The sequence below is a fragment of the Homo sapiens genome, chromosome 16, assembly GCF_000001405.40.
Source record: "Homo sapiens chromosome 16, GRCh38.p14 Primary Assembly".
Classification (NCBI taxonomy): domain Eukaryota; kingdom Metazoa; phylum Chordata; class Mammalia; order Primates; family Hominidae; genus Homo; species Homo sapiens.
The window spans coordinates 28,309,108-28,326,961 of record NC_000016.10 but is presented as its reverse complement, the minus strand read 5'-3'; the positions used below and the strand labels follow the sequence as shown (position 1 = coordinate 28,326,961).

At 56.0% G+C, this 17,854-nt stretch overlaps 1 protein-coding gene across 2 annotated transcripts in view; it reads right to left on the bottom strand.

The window, feature by feature from the left end:
- Positions 1-3,112: 3,112 nt before the first annotated feature.
- SBK1 (SH3 domain binding kinase 1) overlaps positions 3,113-17,854 on the bottom strand; it is a 65,169-nt gene continuing 50,427 nt past the window's right edge. For both annotated transcript variants that reach the window (XM_005255315.5, NM_001024401.3), the window contains exons 2-4: positions 9,345-9,577; positions 7,765-7,967; positions 3,113-6,886 (exon numbers count right to left, since the gene is read on the bottom strand). In XM_005255315.5, the coding sequence (XP_005255372.1) occupies positions 6,041-6,886; positions 7,765-7,967; positions 9,345-9,577 (1,282 nt within the window). In that variant the 3' untranslated portion in view covers positions 3,113-6,040. The remainder of the gene's footprint in view (positions 6,887-7,764; positions 7,968-9,344; positions 9,578-17,854) is intronic.

Here is a 17,854-nt window from a genome sequence, read left to right as displayed (position 1 = left end):
TCCATTAAAGTGGATGACACCCTTATCATGGCAGAGAAGCGGCAGACATTTTGAAATGACAGAGCTTTTCTTTAACATATACCAAATCAAATAGTTGGGTAGCAGTCCTTTCTGCCCCGGTAGGGCTTTTTGCTGTTCTTTTTGCCCTCCCTCTCTTTTTCTTTCTGCCCCCACCCCATCATTTCATATATAATTATGTAACTTATAGAATGTCTGTTTTGCTCTTTAGAACAGCAGTCACCATGCTTTTTGGCACCAGGGACTGGTTTTGTGGAAGACCATTTTTTCACGGACCAGGGGTGGGGTGGGGTGGGGTGAAGCGAAGATGGGGATGGAGGGATGGTTTCAGGATGATTCAAGCACGTTACATTTATTGCACACTGTATTTCTTTCTTTTTCTTTCTTTTTTTCTGAGATGGAGTTTCGCTCTTGTAGCCTAGGCCGGAGTGCAATGGCACGATCTTGGCTCACCGCAACCTCTGCCTCCTTGGGTTCAAGCAATTCTTCTGTCTCAGCCTCCTGAGTATCTGGGACTACAGGCTCATGCCACCATGCCTGGCTAATTTTTGTATTTTTAGTAGAGATAGGGTTTAGTAGAGGTGCCTGTAATCCCAGCTACTCGGGAGGCTGAGGCAGGAGAATGGTTTGAACCCGGAGGCGGAGGTTGCAGTGAGCCGAGATCGCACCACTGCACTCCAGCCCGGGTGACAGAGTGAGACTCCATCTCAAAAAAAAAAAAGACTGGGCACGGTGGTTCAAGCCTGTAATCCCAGCACTTTGGGAGGCTGAGGCGGGTGGATCACTTGAGGTCAGGAGTTCAAGACCAGCCTGGCCAACATGGTGAAACCTCATCTTTACTAAAAATACAAAAAAATTAGCCGGGCATTGTGGCATGTGCCTGTAATCCCAGCTACTCAGGAGGTTGAGGCAGGAGAATTGCTTGAACCTGGGAGGTGGAGGAGGTTGGAGGTTGCAGTAAGCCAAGATTGCGCCACTGTACTCTATCCTGGGCAACAGAGCAAGACTCCATCTCAAAAAAAAAAAAAAAAAAGAAAAAAAGAAAAGAAAGAAAAAGAAAAAAGGAAAAAAAGAGTATGTCTCAGGGTATGTGATAGGGATTGTGTGTCTTGTTTATTGCTGTTTCCTTGGCCCCGAAAATAGTAGCAGGCATGCATTCATTAGTCTGACAAGTTGTTACGGAGTTCCCATCACCGTACCAGGCCCTGTCCCAGGCGTGGGGGCTGGAGGGAAGTAGCAGTTTGCCAAACACTGCCTCTGCTCTTATGGAACTTCCATTCTAGGGGGGAGAGATGGGTAACAAACAAATACATGGTCCTGCAGGTGGTGACGAGTGCTCAGTGTGCAGTGAAGCAGGCTAAGGAGGGCTTCTCTCCACCTAGACGGCTCAGGAAGTTTGCTCTGACCCTGAAGGAAGGGCGGGAGGGATCCCTGGGAGAGTACAAGGCAAAGTTTAAGGCTTCCAGGTGAGCACATGCTTGGCAGGCAGTACAGGGGATGGTAGGGATGAGGCTGGAATGTGCTGGGCTTGAAACTTGACCTTGACATAGGCTCTAGGCCTCTTGTGACCTCTCAGAGCTCGTGGGACCTTGGAGACCACTCTAAGGACTTCAGCTTTGATTTTTGGGTGGAATAGGAAGCCATTGTAGGGTTCTGAACATAGTGACAGATCTTATCAAAAGGATCTGTCTGGCCGGGCATAGTGGCTCATACCTGTAGTTCTAGCACTTTGGGAGGCCAAAGCAGGAGGATCACTTGAGTCCAGGAGTTGGAGATCAGCCTGGGCAACATAGTGAGACCCTGTCTCTACAAAAAGTAACAATAAAAATAAAATAGCCCAGAGCAATGGCATGTGCCTGTAGTCCTAGCTACTTGGGAAGCTGAGGTGGGAGGACTGTTTGAGCCCAGGAGATCGAGGCTGCAAGTAAGCTATGATTATGTCATTGTACTCCAGCCTGGCCAACAGAGCGAGACCCCAACTCTTGGGAAAAAAAAAAAAAAAGAAGAACCTGCAGAGGCTCAGAAGAGGCTCCTGCCTTAGGCCAGGGAGGGAGGCCATGTCCAGGGGCAGCAATGCAGGCAATGGGCAGTTGCTGCCTTGGGATGTGCCTGTATTTGAAGGCAGAGCCAACAGAACTGCTCTGTTGACATGAGTAGGTAATTAGCAAATATTTGTTTGAATGAGTGTTGAATCATGAAACTCCCTACAGTCCACTGAAGCTCCCCCTCCTTCAGAACATCCGCCTTGACTGTTGCTGGAGTCTACACCCACAACCGGCCCTTTCAGCTTTCTCCTGTCCCCTGCTCTGGCCCCATCGTCAGGGAGCGTCTGTGGGCTCCTCCAAACTCGATGGGTCTCCCAGTTCCATGCTCTCACTGAGCTCAGCCTGCTGTTTGGGCAATGTCTGCCTTCATCATTAGATCACCAGCTGCCTAAGGGCAGGGGCCCTGTCTGTCCTGCTCAGTGCTGTGTCCCCAGCCCCTAGGAGGAATCCTGGTACACAAAAGGTGCTCAGTAAAAAGGTGCTGAGTGGTGAACTGGTCTGCCTCTGGGCTTTTGCTTCTTTTCTGGCCAGGCTGAAGGGCTACAAGCTGAACTCCAGGCAAGGGACAACTGCCTACCCCTTGTCCCAGAATCTGGGTCCTGTTCCCCTCATGCTCAAGTTCTGAGAGGTCACAGGAGGCCTAGAGCCTATGTCAAGGTCAAGTTTTCTTTTTTTTTTTGAGATGGAACTTTGCTCTTGTTGTCCAGGCTGGAGTACAATGGCGCGATCTCAGCTCACTACAACCTCCACCTACCGGGTTCAAGCGATTCTTCTGCCTCAGCCTCCCAAGTAGCTGGGAGTACAGGCGTGCGCCATCGCGCCCAGCTAATTTTATATTTTTAGTAGAGATGGGGGTTTCACCATGTTGGCCAGGCTAGTCTTGAACTCCTGACCTCAGGTGATCCGCCCGCCTCGGCCTCCCAAAGTGCTGGGATTATAGATGTGAGCCGCTCCGCCCAGCCCAAGTTTTCAGTTTCTAGAGTACCTGTGTGCCCCCACCCCCACCGCCCTCTCCACCCCAAACTTGAGAAAAGACAGCCACCCAGTGGTCATTTTTCTAAACTTTTGTTTATTTTTATAGCAATCGTCATGTTTAGAGAAGTAAATAACACATTTAAAAACCTTCTCAGGGCCAAAGGATGCCAGAGTATTTACAAACACATGGAGGAAGGGCGGCAAGACATGAGGGGCTGGGGCTCTGGGGCTAGGACTCTACCCAGGACCCCGCCCCAGGCCCTGAGCCAAGCATGGACGCTGATGTCAGCCACCAGGACTGTCCCACTGGCCACAGTGTGGGCTCAGGGAACATTCTGGCAGCCGTGGGGTTCTGTTCAGTGGGCCTGGTGGAGACCCTCTAGCCGACCTGTGGCCCCGCCTCCCATCCAGGGGGCTTCCCGTGCCCCACAGGCCAGCTCAGAGGGGTCTCTGGGAAGCACCGAAGGACAGGGGGCAGTGTGGGGGACACAGGGTCTGGGACAGAGACACGCACACACATACACACATACACACATACACACTGTACCTTCACAGAAGAATCGCAACAAGGGAGATTTTTTGTGTGATTTTTTTTTTTTTGTCTTCTAAGTCTTCATGTCTACAGTGTTATTTTTTGCTATTATTTTTTGTTTCTTCGACAGTGACATAAACTGAGGTAAACATCTGTGACCAACACCTCTCCTAAGGGGCAAAGGGTCCCAGCCCGACCAGCAGAGGAGGTGGCAGCACCAGGGCCCCAACCTGGTGTTCCGGTTCTGCTCTGGGGTCAGGCTGGAGGCTGGCCCTCTGGGTGCCTCTGGGAATGAGGGGGCTGGGCTACATAACTATGGTCCCCTCCCAACTCTAACATACTAGATACTACAACGGCTGGGGAAACTCCCGAACAGGATCTTAACAGAGAGAGGGAGAGAGAGAAAGAGAGGAGAGAGAGAGAGAGAGAGAGAGAGAGAGAGAGAGAGAGAGAGAGAGAGGGAGAGAGAGAGCGCGCGCGAGAGAGAGAGCGAGCACGGCAAGGGACGTCTACTGTGGAATCTCGATTCCTAGTTATTGCAGGAGAGATCAGGATGTCGCGAGGCCTAAGGCAAAAGGAGAAGTCGCGGCTGGGAGAGGCAGCCCCGATGGGCTCCAGGTGGGCCGGGGGCAGTGACCAGGGCCTTCTCTGAGACCTGGTCCTTGGAGGGAGTGGGGGTTTGCTACTTACCTGGCATGTGGAGGGCCCATACCCACTGGGGAGGTGGAGTCTGGAGAGGAGTGGGCACAGCAGGGAGAGTGGGGCCAGGCCCTGGGGCCACCCCACACTGTTTGTAAACTGGACCCGGGCAGGGCAGGGGACCTATAGCCCTTTTTCAAGGTGGGAATGAGTGGGGAGTGGAGAGGTTGGGGCACCAGCCAGAAAGTGCTCGGAGTTCACTCTGGCCGGCCTGGCCCATCAAAGAGCCCCTCAAATGGCCCAGAACCCCAGGAGGGACCCTGGCAGGGGACCCTGACAGGGACAGCCTCACCCATGTGGTGCTTATTGCGGGGGTCCCGGGCCTCCACAGAGAGGGGCAGGGGGTCAGGCGGGGCTGCTGTTGTCTCTGTTTTGCTACCTGGGGGCCTGAACCAACCTGCAGGGGCCTCCTTGCCGGATTTCCTGAGGGCTGTGGTGCAAGGCAGGCCTGGGCGCCCTGGGACAGCTGCCTGGGAGGACCAGGGTGTGGTGGGGGGGCCGCTGGTGAGGGGTCTGGACGCACAGTCACTGAACGCAAAGGATGGCACCCATGCGTCTGCACCCTACACATGTGCACACACACCTAGTCACACACTCGCCCCCTGGTGTCCACCGCCCCCATTCTCACACCCACACATGCAGGTCCTACGCCCTGCACACTCCAGCGCCAGAAAAGTGGGAGACGTGAGGATGGGGTCTTGGAGGTTGGCATGTTTGACCCCAAGAAACCCAGGAGAAATTTCCAGCACGAACCAGCTCGCCACCTGCTGGAAGCCCAGGCTACTACGTCTAGGCTGTGTGGCAAGGGCTGGGAGGACCCGGCAGAGGTCCCTGGGCCTGGGACAGTGCGGCTGGCAGGGGGAGCTGGGACCTGCTCTCGGCTCCACACTAACTCCCCTGCCCTAAGGATGGGGGCAGCTGAGACCCCTGCCCTGTGAGCCCTTCTATCCCCACAAGTTGTCAGGACAATCCCTTGTGGTTAGGGGGAGGGGCGGGGAGAGAGCTCTATTTCTCAGCCAGTGCCAAGCTACCCTCCCTCCTGGGCTGTGATTTCATTTGTGCAATGGGGGTGTGCAGGAGTCACTAGCTTCTCGGGGCCTGTCCCGCACATACACGCACTTATGCGACATCCAGACATTTGCTACATTTTCCAAGGGCTTGGCCTCTCCCCTCCAGCCTCCAGAAGGGAGGGCAGGACACAGCTGCCCTTCGCTCACTGCCCTGATCCCAGCCTGTGCCCAGGGGCCTTAAGCCCCCTCTCTGCCCAACACTTCAGTCCCTTTCTGTACCCAGGGTGGGGAGGGGGCAGAATGGGATGGCGAGGAGGAGGGGATCTGGGGTGGGACCGCAGGATGATCTGCCAGGGGGTATGGAAGGCCAGGAGCAACGAGTCCGGGTTCCAGGGCTCAGGGAGGCGTCTGGGAGTGTGGCCCGAAAGCTCCCTTGCTCCTGGCGTGTGTGTGTGTGTGTGTGTGTGTGTGTGTGTGTGTGTGTGTGTGTGTGTGTGTGTTGTGTGGTGGCCTCCGAATTCTCGGGTCTGTGCGGCTTGGCTCCTCTGGGCCAAGCCCCCGCTCACCAGGCCGCGCTAGGGGTCTTTGGTGGCCCCCTCACCAGCCCGCCGGGGACGGACCAGGTGCCGGGCCGCGTCCTGCCTAGTCTACCGCTGCGCCCCCTGCCCCGCGGCGAGGTGGCTCCATTCCCTACCGCCGCACCGGGCACCGGCTCGGGGCGGGCCCGGGCTGCTCCCGGGTCCGAGGGCGGCGGAGGCGACTCAGACGCAGATCTCGATGGCCGTGGCCAGCACCACCTGCCCTTTGCTCTTGTCCGCGCGGCCGTCGGTCCGGCCGGGGGGCCCCTGGGGAGCTAGGCCGGGCTCGGGCACAGGCACCGGCACGGGCACTGGCACCGGCACCGGCACGGGCAAGGGCACCGACCCGACGGCGGGGGGCGCGGGCCGGGAGCCGCTGCCGCTCTCGGTCAGCACCGTCCGCTTGAGCGGCCCAGGCGCCTCGAGGCGCAGTGGCCCGGCGGCGGGCGGGCGGTCCCCGGGGGGCTTGCGCGCGCGGTGCGAGGGCCGGCGGCGCAGCTCGGACGTGAGCTCGTGCTTGAGGAAGCGGAACACCTCCTTGGCTGGGCCGCGGCGCTCGGGCTCCAGGGCCAGTAAGCGCTGGAACATGCGCAGCGCGGGCTCGGTGAAGCGGCGCCACTGCGAAGGCAGCCCCGGCAGGCGGCCCCGCTGCCAGCGCACGAACTCCTCGAAGAAGGCGTCGGCGCCCGACGCCGCCTCCCACGGGAAGTTGCCGGTGAGCACGCAGAAGATGAGCACGCCGAAGGCCCACACGTCCACGCCCGTGTCCACCGCCAGCCCGTCGGCGCGGCCCGCCTGGCACACCTCAGGCGCCGTGTAAGGGATGGTGCCGCTCACGCGCTTGACGCGGCAGCCCACGCGGCGCGTCATGCCGAAGTCGGCCAGCTTTACGCGGCGGCACTCGCGGTCGAACAGCAGCACGTTCTCGGGCTTGATGTCGCGGTGCACCAGCTGCCGCCCGTGCATGAAGTCCAGCGCCAGGCCCAGCTGCTGCACACAGCGCTTCACCGTGTCCTCAGGGAGCCCCACCTGCGGGCGGCCGGGGGAAGCCGCGCTGTTTCCAGCTCTCCAGCGCCCGCCCCGCCGCCCTCCCCTCCAGCTCCCTCTCTAGCAAGGCGGTTTTCGCCTCCCACCCTGTCCCCAGTAACTGGGGCGACCGCGCAGACGCGGCCCGGATGCTGCTGAGCGCCCTTTCCCCCGCTGTCTCATCCAATCCTCATAGTGGCTACCATGCCTGCTTCTCCTATGGGGACATCGGGGCTCCAGGAGGGACACGCGGCTCTCCAGGAGGTTGATGAGGGGGTCCGCGGCGCCCTCCACCTGCTGTCATTTTGCCCTGCCTGCTAGATACTTATCTCGTCGGTCTTCCCCAACTAGAACGGGGCTCCCTGAGCTTCCCGTCCTGTTCCCTGCTGTGTCCGTGCATCTGTGTCTCCAGATTCTGGCATGTAGTAGGTGCTCAGCAAAGAAGGAGGACCTGCTCCGAAGGTCTCATCACTCAGCCAGCAAGTGGCAGAGCAGATTTAAAGCTAGTGCCTGGAACCCTCCCCCACCGTCCCGGTTCCAGGGTCGCTTCCTCTGAGGGCCCCTTCCCAGGTGGATCTGACACCTCTCCTCTTGTGTAGCCCCAGGGGAGGGCCCAGTGACTTCATCCCATCATTCTCACTGTCTCCTTTTAGGCACTCATCTCCATCTGTTATTATCTGGCCCGCTGTGGAGTGTCAGTTTCCCACTAGAACAGGGACTTTTGTCTTCCTTACTGCACATCCCCACCTCCCCAAATGGTAACTGACATACAGCAGGCACCCAGTAAATACTTGTTAATTAAATGGTCTGACTCCACTCCCACTCTCACACTCTGGGACCCTGAAGACCCTTTCCCCACCCTATGCCACCATCCCGAGTACCTGGGGAGGGATGATGTCAAACAGGTCCCCAGCAGGTGCGTACTCCTGGGCAAAGACGTAGCAGTCCTCTGTCTCAAAGACCACGTCAAAGACCTTGATGATGAAGGGGCTGGAGGAGAGGCTGTTGGTGATGCTCACCTCCCGTAGGAAGTTCTTCAGCTTGGTTTTGCTCTTGTTCACAAACTTCAGTGCCATTTTTGTGCCTGATGGGAGCAACAGCAACAGGGTTGAAGCCCCCTCTCCCAGTGCCTCCGCACTGGATGCACCCATGCCTGTCTCTGGACCCTGGTGCAACAGGGTCCCCAGCAGGCATGACTGTCCTCATCTCACGGATGGGAACAGACCCAGAGAGAGGAAAGGACTTGCCCAAGGCCATGCAGGCAGGGTCAACCTGAGCCTTCTACACCCACTCTGCAGCTCTCCAAGAGGAGGGGGCGAGGGGGCCTGTGATGCCCTCCACCTCTCTCATTTTGTCCTGCCCGCCATATGCTTATTTATCTTGTCAGCCTACCCCATCTAGAACGGGTCTCCCTAAGCTTCCTGTCTTGCTAAATGGATGAATGAATAAGAAATGAGACACTGCAAGGCATGTGTCCACAACTCTGTGCCTGGGCAAGCATCTGTGCCCATCTGGTACATAGCTGGGTGGAGCACACATGTGTGTCCACGGAGCATTTACACATCGCAGGCCCTGCCTTCAGCACTGCACATTCACAACTCACACTTCATTATGATTGTATGGGTTGTGCACTAATGTTACCCTATTTTACAGAGAAGGACTCTGAAGCACAGAGAGGTGAAGTCACTTGCTCAAGGTCACACAGCAAGCAAGTAACAAAGCTCAGGTGACCCCATGTTAGGTGCTCCTCCTGCTGCCCTCAGTTAGCACAAAGCCCCTGGACCCAAGCGCGTGCAGCTGTGGGAGCTCACACAGCCCCAGCCCCTGGCTGGCTGGGTGGCACGGCTGTGACCTACAGTGTGGGGGAGGTATCAAGCTCAGTGACTAAGCGACAAGGCTCTGGAGATGACTCCTGGGGTCTCGTTTTGGTTCACAGCCTCTGTAGCTGCAGGGCATTGGCTATGTGGCTGAATTGGCCTAGGTCTCCCTGTCCTCACCTGAGAGATGGTGATTGCAATATTGACCTCACAGGTCCTTCCACCACCCATTAAGTGTGGCACCCTGTTCCTGAGGAACCACCCTCACTCTCCATCCACCTTCCTGGGGCCAGACATCCCTGAGACGCTGGTGATACTCAGACACAGCCGGCAGCCCTGCCCTCCCCAGACACTCCTGGCACAGCCCCTTGGCTGTCTCAAAGTCACCCCAGATGGCCCCACAGCAGCCCATCCTGTACCCTGGCCACTCTGCCCCGGATTCCTCCCTTGCCCCATCTGCCCAGTCTCTTTCCCCCTGGGCTGCCTCAGGCCTCATCCTCTACATCTGGCCCCTGACCCTGCCTCCTGGCTTCCACAGAGCACCAGAGAGCCCCGGCCCAGCTGCAAGGTCATGTCCCCCAACCCTGACCTCCCAGCCCTGCCCCACCCCAACCTCTCAGCCCTGCCACCCTGCACTTGTTCACCTGTGCCCTTGTAGACCACCAGGTCAACCTTCCCATAGGTGCCTTTGCCCAGCTCCCGGACTAGTTCGTAGTGCTTGGTGACGTCGCTGGCGGCCAGTGTGCGGAGAGTCAGGGCCTGCATGTCTTCAGTGAGAAGGGGCACACCGGCACCAGGCCCAGGGGCAGTCCCCGGCCCACAGCAGGTCAGGGAGCGGGGCGGCTCAGGCTCTGGGCAGCCCACGCTCATCTTCTCCCTGTTGGGTAGGGGTGGTGAGCATGAAGTGTGACATCAGGCAAGGGTCCCCTCCTCCAGCCCCTCTGCCCTCCCCAGAACCCAGAAAACTTGAGGATGGGCCCGGATGCCAGGCCCAAGATAACCACAAGGGGGCGACAAGCATCTTGGTCGCGTCGCCTTCCCCAAAGCCTCAGGGGCCAGGCCTGAGTCAGCTCCCCGAAGACCAGTCACTGCCAGACCCTGCGCTTGGTGGCACCAGCCCCTCTGCCTCATGCTGCCACCCACACACAGTGTCAGGCAAGGCCCCTGTTTATGTCACACAGACACAGCCAGATACCGAGTTCACACGGGTACTCCCATTCAGAAGCGTTGGTTTTATTTGGATTGTAGAGAGGGGGGTCCCACTATGTGGCCCAGGCTGGTCTCGAAATCCTGGATTCAAGTGATCCCTCTGCCTGGCCCTCCCAAAGTGCTGGGATTACAGGCATGAGCTACTGCACCCGGCTTGTTGTTATTTTTATTTCTGAGACAGGGTCTTGCTCTGTCACCCAGGCTGGAGTGCAGTGGCGCAATCACAGCTCACTGCAGCCTCGACCTCCCAGGCTTAAGCTATCCTCCCATCTCAGCCTCCTGAGTAGATTGGATTACAGGCATGTGCCACCACACCTGGCTAATTTTTATTTATTTATTTTAATTTTTAGTTCTGGGGTACATGTGCAGGATGTGCAGGCTTGTTACATAGGTAAACGTGTGCCATGGTAGTTTGCTGCACCTATCATGCCTAATTTTTAATTTTTTTTTTGTAGAGTTGGCATCTCTTTATGTTGCCCAGGCTGGTCTAGAACTCCTGGCCTCAAGTGATCCTTCCACCTCAGCCTCCCAAAGCACTAGGATTACCAGCATGAGCCACTGTGCCCAGCTTATTCACAAGTACTGACGAAGCACCTGCTGTTCCCCAGGGCTCTCCAAAGCCTGGAGGACACAGCATGGAACAAACACCTAGGATTCCCTGCCACCATGGGGCTTACACCCCAGGGGGAGAAGGGCAGTAGACACAGTGATCACATCAGTTGTATATTACGATCGAAAGTGGTATGGCTGTCCATAAGGTAGGGGGTGGGGAAGAGGTCTGAGGGCCATGATTGCATCATCACATACCTTGGCCACGTGGTCTCAGGCCAAACTGGCAGGATGGTATAGATGTGGCCACACCATCCCACCATACACATGGCCACACATCAGCACAGCCTGGCAGTGCCTCCCCCACTGCAGACGACCTCACCACCCGACTAATGAACACTGCGCCTGGCCAACCTGACTTTTTCAAAAATTGTATTTAGGCTGGGCATGGTGGCTCACAACTGTAATCCCAGCACTTTGGGAGGCTGAGTGGGCGGATCACTTGAGGTCAGGAGTTCGAGACCAGACTGGTCAATGTGGCGGAACCCTGTCTCTACTAAAAATACAAAAATTAGTTGGGCATGGTGATGCACGCCTGTAATCCCAGCTACTTGGGAGGCTGAGGTAGGAGAACTTCTTGAACCCTGGAGGTGGAGGCTGCAGTGAGCAGAGATCGTGCCACTGCATTCCAGCCTGGGCGACAGAACAAGACTCCGTCTCAAAAAAAAAACTGTATTTGTATTGAGACAGGGTCTTGCTCTGTTGCCCAGGCTGAAGGGCAGTAGGATGATCATAGCTCACTGCAGCCTCGAACTCCTGGGCTCAAGGGATCCTCCTGCCTCAGCCTCCTGAGTAGCTGGGACTGCAAGCATGCGCCACCACATCTGGCTGATGTTTAAATTTTTTGGAGAGATGGGGTCTTGCTATGTTTTCCAGGCTGGTCTCGAACTCCTGAGATCAAGCGATCCTTCCACCTTAGCCTCCCAAAGTGCTGGGACTACAGCGTGAGCCACCACTTGGGCTAAGACCTGACTTGTCATGTGGGTGACAGTGAACTAACTCTCCATCCGTGGCCTTCATTTCTTTATTTCCCCTTATCTCATGTCATTTTTCTAGTTTTATTGAGGTATATTTGGTGTTCAAAAAACTACACATATTTGAAGTGTACAGTGTGATGATTCTGACATATGTATACATCCCTGCCGTCGAGACCACGAACACATCCATTACCCCAAAGTTTCCTTTTGCCCCTTTCTAAAACCCCATCCCCCCAACCCCGGTCTTCCAGGCAACCACTCTGGGCATTCATTTCTCATCTGTAAATGGAGAGAGGTAGACTATGGGGGATGAGCCTTTCCCAGGCGCAGGCACACATGAGTATGTATCTGTGTGTGCACTGGCAAGAGAGGCCAGGGCTGCCTCCTTTAGAAGCTGCCACCAGCCTCCAGCCCCTGAGCACTGCTTCCGGGTGCAGCCTCCCTCTACCCTCCCTGCACTCCCTTCTCCCTTTTTTCCCTTTTTTTTGAGACGGAGTTTCTCTCTTGTCACCTGGGCTGGAGTGCAGTGGTGTGATCTTGGCTTTTTGCAACCTCCGCCTCTTGGGTTCAAACAATTCTCCCACCTCAGCCTCCCAAGTAGCTGGGATTACAGGTGTGCGCCACCATATCTGGCTAATTTTTGCATGTTTAGTAGAGATGGGGTTTCACCATGTTGGCCAGGCTGATCTCGAACTCTTGACCTCAGGTGATCCATCGCCTGGGCTTCCCAAAGTGCTGGGATTACAGGCGTGAGCCACCGCACCTGGCCCCTTCTCCCTCTAATCCCAGACATGTCACTCCAGTGTCCCTAGCCTGCTCCTAAGCACCCCTGCACCCTGAAGAACAATGACCACAGCTCCCTCTGGGAGAAGGCACAGATGTAGAGCCAGACAGCCTGGGTCTGAGTCCCAACTCTGTCACTTGCTAGCTGGATGTCCTTGGGCAAGTTACTTCCTCTCTCTGTGCCTCAGTTTCCTCATCTATACAAAGGATATAATAATAGTGCGTTGGGCCACTCAAGGTAGCTCACGTCTGTGATCCCAGCAATCTGGGAGGCCAAGGTGAGAGGATTGCTTGAGGCCAGGAGTGTGAGACCGGCCTGAGCAAGACCCTGTCTCCACAAAAAAAAAAAAAAAAAAAAAGTTAGCTGGGTGTGGTGGTGCACACCTGTGGTCCCAGCTACTCAGGAGGCTGAAGCAGAAGGATCGCTTGAACCCAGGAATTCGAGGCTGCAGTGAGCTATGATCACTTCACTGCACTCCAGCCTGGATGACAGAGTGAGACCCTATCTAAATATAATAATAATAATAATAATAACAATAATAACGACAACAACAACAACAACAGTGCCTTCTCCCGATGCGTTCTTGCGAGGGTTAAGTAAGTTAACAGGCGTGAAGCCCTGGCATGTGGCATGCAGTAAGTGCTCCATAGGTGCCCAGGCTTGCTGTGTTGTTCTCGTCATCATCACCGGCTTTCTCTCTGGCTGAGCAAGGGTGGGCGGGCGGGTGGGCATTGCTGGAGGCTGGGAGGGGGTGAGCACTCCATGAGCCCCGCATCCTCTCGCAGCCCAGCGGCTCCCTTCCAGGCCCCAAGCCTCTCCTCCTCCTCTGCCTTCCCCTTCACTCTCGGCACGACCCAGCCTCCCACTTCACACGGAGAGGAGGAACATCAGGAGAGAACTTCCTGGCCTCCCACCCAGCCCCAAACGGAGCTCCATCTGCACCGTCCTCTCAGCTGGCTGGGGAGGAAGGAACCCTCCCCTCCCCGCCCTGCAGCCTGCTCCCATCCCTGTCTTCCCAGCCTCCTGCCTCCCTCCATTCATGAACCAGCTCATCTCCCCTGTCAGTATGTTTTTTTTTTTTTTTTAAGACAGGGTATCGCTCTGTCACCCAGGCTGGAGTGCAGTGGCGTGATCTCAGTTCACTGCAACTTCTGTATCCCGGACTCTGGCAATCTTCCCATCTCAGCCTCCTGAGTAGCTGGGACCACAAGGTGTACGCCACCACACCTGGCTAATTTTTGTATTTTTTGTAGAGATGGGGTTTCACCATGTTGCCCAGGCTGGTCTTGAATTCCTGACCTCAAGCAATCCTCCAAAGTGCTGGGATTACAGGTGTGAACCACCGCACCCAGCCTCCTGTCGTTTTTTAAATTAAATTAAATTTTTTTTAAACAGGGTCTCGCTCTGTTGCCCAGGCTGGAGTGCAGTGGTGCCCCCATGGCTCACTGAAGCCTCCAGCTCCTGGGTTCAAGCAATCCTCCCACCTCAGCCTCCTGAGAAGGTGGGGCCACAGGCACGTGCCACCACGCCCAGATAATTTTTTTTCGTATTTTATTTATTTTATTTTGAGACAGAGTTTCCCTCTTGTTGCCTGGTGCAATCTTGGCTCGCCGCAACCTCTGCCTTCTGGGTTCAAGCGATTCTTTTGCCTCAGCCTCTGGAGTAGCTGCAATTACAGGCATGTGCCACCATGCCTAATTTTTGTATTTTTAGTAGAGACAGGGTTTCTCCATGTTGGTCAGGCTGGTCTCGAACTCCCGACCTCAGGTGATCTGCCCGCCTCAGCCTCCCAAAGTGCTGGGGTTATAGGCGTGAGCCACCGCATCCGGCCCATATTTTATTTTTTGTAGAGATGGGGTCTCACCTTGTTGCCCAGGCTGGTCTTGAACTCCTGGGCTCAAACAGTCCTCCTGCCTCGGCCTCCCAAAGTGCTGGGATTACAGGCCTGAGCCACTGTACTTGGCCTCCTTGCCCCTGTTCCAACAGGAACTTCCTCTCCAGCAACTGTCTTTTCTTTCCTAGCTCATTTCCACCTAAACATGTGCCCTGGCCTCGCTCATTCCACAGTCCCCTCCACCAGAGGTAGGAACAGTGCCAGGCCCAGAGAACCCGGTCCCACATGCCCTTCCTCTCTACTCTAGTGTGCTGATCCAAATGCAGACATGCCACTTGCCACCATGTCTCCACGCAGTCCCAGCTCTGGGCTGGACAGCACTGGCTCTTTCCCGCAGCCACCAGCTGGGCTTACATGGGGCGACATCTCCGCGTGATCGTCTTTCCCTGGTCTCAGGCTTGGAAAAAATCTCTTCCAACCCCTGTGAAATGTCCACCCACCAACGGGGTGATGAGGCTTCCGAGTTAGAAAACCGAGGTGACCGCGGCAACACCAGCAGGGAGAGGCAAGGCTGCTTCTGTGCAGGCCTCCCCGGGGCCTGCGCGTCCTTGGGCCCTTTCTGTGTGGACTGTGGGGCTGTCCCCCAGGGGCTCTGATGAGCACGCAGCCCTCTTTGCCGCAAACTCCTCCCCACGCCCAACAGGGAGACGCTGGGCTGCTCCCCTGACCTACTTTTCCTGACGTGTGTGGAGTCCCCAAGGGCTGCTGAGGTGGGCGGTCCACGTGCATACAGCACACACATCCACACGTGTGCAATCCTCCCGCCTTGGGCTTTGGCCCTGCAAGGCCACCTCAGGCTGTTCTGTGTACTCTGGGAGCTTAATTGGTGGCCACCAGTGGCTACAAGCCCTCCCTGCCTCCCACACCCAGGGACAGGATGCTTGGCTTATCTCTGCCCTCTGGCATGTCTGCCTCAGAGTTGCCCTGGGAAGGGCTGGGCTGGATCAGGGACACAGTCCAGTGGGCTCAGTTTGGGCCCCATGTGTGCCCCCCACTGTCAGGTTCAGCCCATGCTCTGACCACTACCCCACGCTGCCTCTCTATGGCTTTATTTAATGCACTTATTTACTTTAATTCTTTTTTTTTTTTTTAGAAATAGGATCTTGCTCTATTGCCCAGGCTGGAGTGCAGATCATGGCTCACTGTAGCCTTGAACTCCTGGGCTCAAGCAGTCCTCCCATCTCAGCCTTCTTGTGAGTAGCTAGGACTGCAGGTGTGCGTCATGGTGCACAGCTAATTTTTTATTTTTTGTGTTTAGAGATGGGGTCTCGCTATGTTGCCCAGGCTGCTTTTAAACTCCTAGCCTCAAGCGATGATCCTGCCAAGCCACCACCCCTGGCCTCTCTAAGGCTTTAGTGTCCTCTATTCTATCTCCTCAATTCCTGAAGAGTCTCTCCTGCCTGTTCCACCTCCCTGCCGTGCCTCCTCATCGCCAGGTCTCACTCCTCCAGGAAGACTTCCCTGCTGCCCTCACACGTGCTGACTCCTGTCTCTGCTGAACAGCAAGATTCACAGGGGCTGCCTGTCCCTCTCTCAGGGCCCTTGTTGAATACCTCAGCTGTGTCCCTGTCTGCCCATCAACAAACCAAGAGCTCCCCAGGGGCAGGGGCTGGATCGGATTCACCCCTCTCCTGCATCCCTTTCCTGGTTCCCAGGGCTCAGCTTTGGGAGTCCCCCTACTGTCCCCTCCCTCCTTCTTCTCCTTCCACACCTCCCTCTCCCTTCAGGCCTTTTCTCCGCAAGGTGTCAGCAGGAGACAAGGAATTAATCCACGCACCCATCCCTGCCTCTGCGTCATCCGCCAGGTACATGCTGCCTCTGACCCAGTTCCGGCGCACGTGGCGTCGGAGGCACAGGGGGAGCAATGGGCCTTGAGGCTTGGCCTTGATCCTAATGTGCGCCACTTTTTTGCTGGGTGACCTTGAGCAAGTCACACCACTGCTCTGGGCCTCTGCTTCCCCATCCCTACCATGAAGAAATCAAGTAACAATAATAATGGAACCAACATTCACACAGGACTTACCACCTGCCTGGCCGTTCTCAGGACTAATGCACTTAATCCTCACAAATACAAGGTAGGCATTATTGTTAGCTCCACTTAAAAAAAAATAGAGACAGGGTCTCACTATGCTGCCCTGGCTGGTCTCCAATTCTTGGCCTCAAGTAGTCCTCCTGCCTTGGCCTCTCAAAGTGCTGGGATTACAGGTGTGAGCAGCAGCACAGGCTTTTGAGATGAGGAAACAGGCAACTTGCCCAAGGTCACACAGCTAGCATTGGTATTGGCTCCAAAGCTGGTACCTTTCACTCTTGTGCTTTCCCAAGGCAGGATATTGGGAACATCGCACCCAGATTCCCCAGCCAGGTGGGGAAACTGAGGCCCAGAAGAGGGCCGAGTCTCAGTGGGAACTCGACCCTCAAAGTATTTCGTCATTGGTCGTCCCTGCCTCCACTTGCAGGAGCAGCTGTGGATGTGATGGCTGTGAACTTGCCAGCACCAGGCAGCGGAGGCCTCTCTGACCTCTGTTCACGCCGGGCTGTCAGCGCCGCATCCACCCACACTCAAGAGGGTGGAGGAAGGGCGCACACACCTCACGCCTCAAGGGTGTGTCCTCACCGGCCCTGAGGGAGGCCTCCATCTGCCATCTGTGTTGCTGAGGGTGGGTGGGGGTCCCCCTCGACTTCATGGCAGTAGTCACGGCTCTGCCACAAGCTGGGAGGGCCACCGTGGTGGGGGAGGGTTTCCCAAGCAAGAAGCAAGACTGAGCCGCCCACCACTTCCTGCTGGCGGTCGGCAAGCGTTGGCACCACCCTTATGAAACGACACCCAACTCATCGTCTGGCTCAGGCCTACTTTGGAGTCCTTGTTGCTCTCCCCACCAACACACACACGGATGCACAAGCATCCACACAGACACACATGCACACATGCGCACACACACAGACACACGTGTATACACAGACCTACATGGTGTGGCCAACTTGGAAAAATTTCATTCATTGAGTCCTCACAAAACCCCTGAGAAGGGGGGGTGCTTCCTATTATTTTATTTTTTTAAAAAATAAAAGGTTTCCCCATTTTGCCTAGGCTGGTCTTGAACCCCCAGGCTCAAATGATCCTCTTGCCTCAGCCTCCCGAGTAGCTAGGACCACAGGCATGCGCCACCACGTCCAGCTTGAATTCCTATTTTGAAAAAATAGCTTAATTGAGGTAGAACTTATATACCACCTAACTCCCATGGAGTGCACAATTGAATGATTTGAGTAAACGTAAAGGGCTGTGCAGTCATCGCCACAACTGAGTGATGCCTTCTATTTAACAGACAACAAAAGAGGCCCAAGAGGTGGATGATCCGCCCATAGTTATGACACAGACAGCCACCTGTCCCTCAGCAACGCGTGTGTCCTCTCCTATACTACAAAGTCGGGCTGGAGAGCGGCCATCCAGCAGGGAACCACGTTGCCTCCCTTGCATCCAGGCCAGCCATGTGACTGGCTCCCCACTGGAATGTGCACAGAAGTGGTATGTGTGTCGCTGTCAGCCTGGGGCTTCAAAGGATCGGGGAAGGTTTATCTGCACTCTCTTCTTCTGCAGCTGGTTTGATGCAGAGGACTCCAAAACCCCAGAAGATGGTGGAGCCACAAGAGAAGAAGCACCTGGGTCCCCAGGTCACTGTGTGGAAA